General features: G+C 45.3%; 1 long non-coding RNA gene across 1 annotated transcript; it reads left to right on the top strand.

Annotated features, from left to right (window-relative positions):
* The first annotated feature begins 2,267 nt into the window (after positions 1 to 2,267).
* On the top strand, positions 2,268 to 3,275 carry LOC124904468 (uncharacterized). The gene is made up of 2 exons (XR_007066767.1): positions 2,268 to 2,380; positions 3,071 to 3,275. It is a non-coding gene; the product is annotated as an uncharacterized LOC124904468 (long non-coding RNA).
* Positions 3,276 to 6,915: the final 3,640 nt, after the last annotated feature.

Here is a 6,915-nt window from a genome sequence, read left to right as displayed (position 1 = left end):
AAGGTACTGTGGGTTAGGACTTCAACATATACATTTTGGGGAACACAATTTTGCCCATAACAAAGACCAGATAAAATCAGTATACCCTACCACACCATACTGTACCATACCATACTGTACGGTACCATATCCTACTATACTAGATTGTGCTATAGTACAAAATGCCTGGTATGATGCCGGCCTGGTACATAGTAATTTGAATCTTTCTCCTCCTTCCCCTAGTGGGATAATAAAAGTTCACAGTAGGCCACGCACGGTGGCTCATGCCTGTAATCCCAGCACTTTGGGAGGCCAAGGTGGGCAGATCACCTGAGGTCAGGAGTTCGAGACCAGCCTGGTCAACATAGTGAAACCCTGTCTCTACTAAAAATACAAAATCAGCCAGGCGTGGTGGTGGGTTCCTGTGATCCAAGCTACTCAGGAGGCTGAGGCACAAGAATCACTTGAACCTGGGAGATGGAGGTTGCAGTGAGCCAAAATCACGCCACTGCACACCACCATCCTGGGCAACAGAGTGAGACTCTGTCTCCAAAAAGAAAAAAAAAGAAAAACTTAACAATAACGATTTTTAGATAGAGGAAATGTAAAATTTGGCCCCTGTGGGTATAAATTGTCACTGAAATATGAATAAAGGGGATCCAAATTAGTGAGTTTCCATTATCCAAGCTAGTTTGGAGATTCATTTTTTTTGAAAGTTAGATTTATTGAGGTATAATTACATACCATATAATTCGCCCCTTTAAAGTGTTCAATTTGTTCAAGGAGTTTTAACAAATATGGATAGTCATGTAATTACAACACAATCAAGAGGGGCCTTCATGTTCTTTTGCAATTTCCTTCCCATTTTGCAACATTGGTCTGTTTTCTGTCCCTACAGTTTTGACTTTTCCACTATGTCATATAAGTGGAATTATATGGGACACAGTCATTTGTAATTAACTTCTTTCACTGAGCAAAATACTTTTGAGATTCATCCATGTTGCTGCATCTGTGAGTTGGATATCACTTGTATCGCTTTTTGTTATCAAGTAGTATTCCATTATATGGATATACCACAATTTGTTAAATAATTTGCTGGTTGATGAACATTTGAGTGGTTTCTACTTTTTGATTATTATGAACAGAGCTGTTATGAATATTAAAATACAAGTCTTTTGTGGACATATGTTTTCCTTTGTCTTGGATAAATATCTAAGAATTGTGTTGCTGGTTGACTAAGGAAATGCTGAACTTTTTCACAAACTGCCAACTGTATACCATTTTTGCACCTGTCATTGGCAAAACATGAACGTTCCAATAGTTCCACACCCTTGCACTTAGTACTTTTAGTCTTTTTTAGTGTTAGCCATTCTAGTGAGTGTGGAGTGGTATTTCACTGTGGTTTGGCTTATATTTCCCTAAGGGCTAATGATGTTGGGCATACTTATCAAATATGTGCAAACATATATACACCTATGTCAGATATATGCTTTGCACATGTCTTATCACAGTCTGTAAAATTTTTCTCAACAGTGTCTTTGAAGAGCAGAAGTTTTAAGTTTTGGCGAAGTCTAATTTGTTAATTTTTACTTCTATGATTCATGATTTTTGTCTGCTATCTAAACATCTCTACTTAATCCAGGGTCACAAAGGCTTTGTCTTCTGTGTTTTCTTCCAGAAATTTTAGATTTTAGTCTTTACATTTAGTACTATGATCCATTTCAGGTTAATTTTTGTGTGTGGTTTGAGGTAAGGGTCAAGGTTCACTTTATATATATGAATGTCCAATTATACCAGCAGAATTTTTTAAAAAGGCAATCCTTTCCCTCGCTGAATTACTTTGACACTTTTGTCTAAAATCAGTTGACCATATATGTGTGGGCCTATTTCTGGATGCTTATTCTGTTCCATTAATTTGTCTATACCGATTGTAACATCATATTATCTTGATTGTTGTAGCCTTGTAGTAAGTCTTCAAATCAGGTAGTGCCAGTCTTCCAAATTTGTTCTTCTTTTTCAAAATTGTTCTTGCCATTCTAGTTCCTTTTCATTTCTCCATAAATTCTAGAATCAGTTTGCCAATTCCTACACAAAACCAATCAGGATTTTTATTGGGATTACTTGTTATCTATGAGGAAATTCAGTTTTTGTAAATTAGATGAATGCCATTCCAAATTGTAGATAATCTTTGAAAACAAGCTTTTGGTATTTCAGTAAACTGGTTATTTTTAATTAGGTTGAATATTTACAAACCTATGATTGACACCTTCCCTTTTAATCCTAGGATGCAATGAAATAAATAAAACCTCTGTCATTCTCTGGTGCTGACAACATCCTGGAATGTATCTACAGCTCCAGGGACGCCATTTTGTCCTGAGAGGAAGCCAGCTTCCTCCCTCAGGTGAACTCTGTGTATGTTTGTGATGGTGAGGGAAAACCTAACAACTCAGGCCCAGGAGAATCTGTCTGAGGCCCTCCCAAATACTCACCCTTCTCTCATTTGTCCAGAGCAAAGTTCATACGGTTTATGAAAAGTGGTCTCCCTCACAGCGCAAGAACACCGCAGGCCCCTGGAGGAAAGCCTTCTGGGAAGAGGTTAAGGAGAGGCTGAGAAAAAGCCAGGACAGAGGCATGATATTCTGGAATCATTGCCACCACTAGTGCAGGGTCTTCCAGAGTAGGGGCCAGAATTGCCACACAGCCAGCTCCCCTGGGGCTACTCTCAGAAAGCCGGCATTTCGGCAGCAGAATTGTTGGCTGTTTTTCATACTGTGAATTGTTAGCAGGTTCTAAATAGACCATTCATGTTTTCCTTTTAGCACAGAAGGGGCTTACAACTCCAAATACCGCCATGGGTCTGACTGTTTCAAGTCAAAACATGCCCCAAACCACAGCCCTTGGGTGAGAGGAAGGGCTGGCTGAGGGCTTTGGAGGAAAAATAACCACCCACCAGCCTGGAAATTAGGGGGTTCACAGGAGGCTGAGTTGCCTTGCTCACAGATGCTGTGAGACTGAGGATTTTTACCCATCAGAGTTAATCTGACAGTCACCTTCCCAACCAGTGCCTGCTTCCACCTCCCCTTTGCTCCAGGAAGGAAACCCAGGCCAAGAGGACGGAATGGTTACTCATGTCATGCGTGCTCAGTGGCTGCCCATCTCAGCATCAGCGGTATGAACAGAGCACTCTGGAGGGGCAGGGAGAGGTGGCTTTGTGGGTAGTGGGATGCCACCTTCACTGTCCTTCAGTCCAATAGGACATGTAGCAAATGTAAATAAATCCAGTGACAACACATGAACAAGTCTTTGGCAAACGAAGTTCCTTTGACACAAAGCAGAAGGCTGCTGAGAGCTGTGGGAAGCCCTGGGCTGATGGGCCAGGATGCCACAGTGACTCACGGGAACAGGTCTCTCTGGAGTGGCTTGGAGAGAAAAGGGCAGAACTCATGACCAATAGGGACTATCTCCAGGTCATCTGGGTGACGACTAGAAAAGCTCCAGAAAATAGCAGAAAGCTTGAGAAGGCAGTGTGGGAGAAAGAAGAAGGAGGAAGGATCTCCACATGGTAGCTGCTGGGAGGACGGTCTGCCTGGGTCCAGGCTGGCGGGGGGCAGGGACTGGCTGCTTCAGCTCACACTCTCGGCAGTGCTTTTCCACTAGTGAGAGGTTGTTGGTCAGATTTGGTCCAGGAGGGACAAATTTAGGAAAGATGTTTTGGTTGAACAAAGGAAGGCTAGGACATACTGGATGGGAGGTGGAGAAGGTGGCAGTGGTAACGCTGGCAAAGGGTGTAACCAAAGTGTGATGATGATGGCATGGTGACCCATGTGTGAGTGGCACTGAATGGTTATGTGCCTGGGGACCTGAGTTGGTATCATGGCTCCATCACTTCCTGCTGTGTGACCTTGGGGTACGATACTCAACCTCTCTGAGGCTATTTCCCCAGCCATAAATGAGTGATCAGCACCCATTTATAAGGGATTGTCATGATTACATCAGAGAACATTTAGTCACTGCTCAATAAGTAGCAGAGACTGTTATGAGAATGGATCGACTGGGGACCCAGCAATGGCCTTGATGCCACATTTCACCTGAAGGATGAGGACTTTGCCACAGTTTGGTAGACTTGGCTTCTGCTAAGAAGACCATCTCACCGGTAACTTGAGGGCAGGAACTCAGGGCTGACCATGTTTCAATGTGGGAAGAGGCCTCACTGTGCCCTGGGGTCTTCTTACTTACCCTGAGGACTCTACTTATTTCTACTTTGGAGGCTACTCAAGCTTTTCTTTTCCAATTACCTCTAAAGGGGGAAAGGGGAGACAGGTGTTTGAAGCCACTTCTGTGGCTTGTAGCAGGAACCAGAGAGGGCCCAGGGCACGCAAATCCCACTGTATTGGCAGAAACACAAATACACAAATACCAGATGGATAATCTCAAGGATTAAAGAGGATTTAGGGTGACCTGATTTAAAGCTTCCTTTTTTCCTTTTTTGGGCAAAGCCTGGGAATAGGGGGTGGGAACTCAAGACAGAGCCTTGTTAGAGTCTTGAATTTTCACTTGTAGAGTGATGGAGCTTTGGGAAGGGGTTTCTCCTTCATGTTTGATGGCATCACATGCCATCAAACCTGATCTTTACATCTAAAACCCCATTTGTATTCCAGTCTGATAATGGGAGACTTGCTTGCCTGTGGGCCCCAGGTTGAGTTTGTGATTGACAAGAAATGTCCAGAGGAGTCTTCAGTGGACACAAAAAGCCTCTGGGAAATCAGCCAGCACTCCACCCAGCATCCCCACCCCCTAGATGGGCCACTAGGGAGCAGGATGGTGGCAGATCAGTCTCTACAATGGCTTTTTATTGGATTTTCTCTGTTGGTTGTATTCCAAGCTGTCAGTCCCTGATAGGACAGCAAGCCATGAGAACCTAGCGTCAAGTTGATGGCCAAGTGCCGAGCATACCAATGACCAGAACTCTGCAAACAATTGGAGCAAGTGCTTGAAATTCCAGCCATGAGCCTGGCCGCTCCACATGAGAGGATGCATATGTCTTGGGTAACATACCGGTTGGCAATTACCAAACTCACTGGGATGATCTTTTACCAGGAATCCAACCACTGCAGCCCCCATTATAGTAACAACCCCTAATGCCCCTTCCAAAGGCATCAGGTGTGTAAGTCCTGCTTTTCTGTTTATTCAGTGGAGGGGACCCTGCAGAGAGGATAAGCAGCTACTGTCCTCAGCCCCTTTAAGCCAGGGATCCCTCCTTCATACAAAAGTGTTCCTGGGGATTTGCTTTCCTTGTGGTTTGTTGGTCATGTCTTATAGGGAAGGGGCTCATTGCCTGGATGCCTATTCTAGCCTGAATGTGCCTCCCACGGCCGGCGTGTTCTGAGGGATGGGGGTCAGCTGGTTCAGGAAAGGGTAGGACAGGTCTGGGCTGTTGCCTGAGGTTAGCTCAGGGGGATAAAACTCCTGTACAGTAAGGGAGTTCTCAGCAGAGGTTAGCAGGTCCCCTGTCAAGACAGCTTCAAGAATTCTTTCTTCAGGATGGCTTGAGCAAAAGCATATCTGGGACCCAGCTGAATTGAGGCTTTTCCCTAGCCTGAACTCTTGGTCTTGTAGGGGTTGGTTCACTCTCTTGTCCTATTTCAACAAGAGGGACGCTCCTTCATGCATCACTGGGGAGTCCCTGCACAGAACCTACTCATTCGTGGCTGCCTATTCTCACCACCTTCTCCTGAAGGATTCTTTTGAGTTCCTTTCCCGGGCTCTTGCAGCCCGTTGGAGTACGTGTTTGCAAACCTGCACCCTATCATCTCCAAGTTCTTCAGAGGCAGGCTTTAGTCTGTTCAGCTTTGTTTGCTGGTGCCCAACTCAGTGGCATGCAGGGTGGACAAGTTGTTCTCAAACACTCCCTGTGGCTCGGTTGCCTGAGGTGAGATGATATTTACAATGCCAATGCTGGGCCCCATGCCCAGAGATTCTGACTCAACTGACCTGAGGTCTGGACATGGGCCGTCTAAGCTCCCCAGGTGATTCTAGTGTGCAGCCATGACAGAGGCCCAAAGGAGACCATCAATGAATCAACAAGGTGGCTCTGACCAAGTGACACCTCCTTTTTTCTCTTTCTGGTGGTGAGGAAGCAGATTCTCAACCTCTATTCATCTTTAGCATCTATCCATGGTTAATACCATTTGTTTGAGCCATACAACTCTTGGAGAACCAACTTCTGGAGGGAGACCTATTGGCAGGCATGTCTGAAACTGCACTGAAGAACTCACTGAGTCTTATGAAATCCCTGTCTGCAACAGACTGCGTGCTCTCATTCTCCTCCAGCTCTACTCTGTACCTGCCACTGTTTACTACACTGTAGATCCCGGCTCCCAAACTTGGTACTTGTCAGAATCCCCCACTCCAGTAGTTACAAATGAGACCTTTTGAGGGGTCAGATGTCAGAGGCCATGTGTGTGTGTGTGGGTGTGTGTGCACGTGTATGTGTGTATTTCAAGCCTCCTCAGTGATTCTTCTTATGCATTTGCAGAGTGGGACCTGCTGTCCCAGGTCATCTCAGCCAGTCAGTCAATGTTGCTCAAAACTCTGGGGGGTGCTCTCCCCTGAGGGACTCTGAGTCCTTGTGGAAAGAGCTGTGGCAAGTCCAAAAGGGCTGTGTGTGAGGGTCTGGTGGGTGGGGGGGGGGCAGGCAGCCCTGGGGGGAACATATATGTGGACAAGATGTTTTGTGCCAAATTGTAACACACCCAAGAAGACTGAATAGAGCCTCATCCAGGGCAAAGATGATGAGTGAGATCTGATCCGAAAGCAATTGTTGAGGTCCAATCCCACATGCAGCATACTAAAGCTGTGGGACTTCAGAGGAAGAGACAGTCTGGGACTTTGGATTAGTAACATGATGTGATCGGAGGAAGTTAAAACTTTGTCTCC

Source organism: Homo sapiens, chromosome 1 (assembly GCF_000001405.40).
Source record: "Homo sapiens chromosome 1, GRCh38.p14 Primary Assembly".
NCBI lineage: Eukaryota > Metazoa > Chordata > Mammalia > Primates > Hominidae > Homo > Homo sapiens.
Note: the sequence above shows the minus strand (reverse complement) of the source record. Positions and strands in the feature narration are given on the sequence as shown.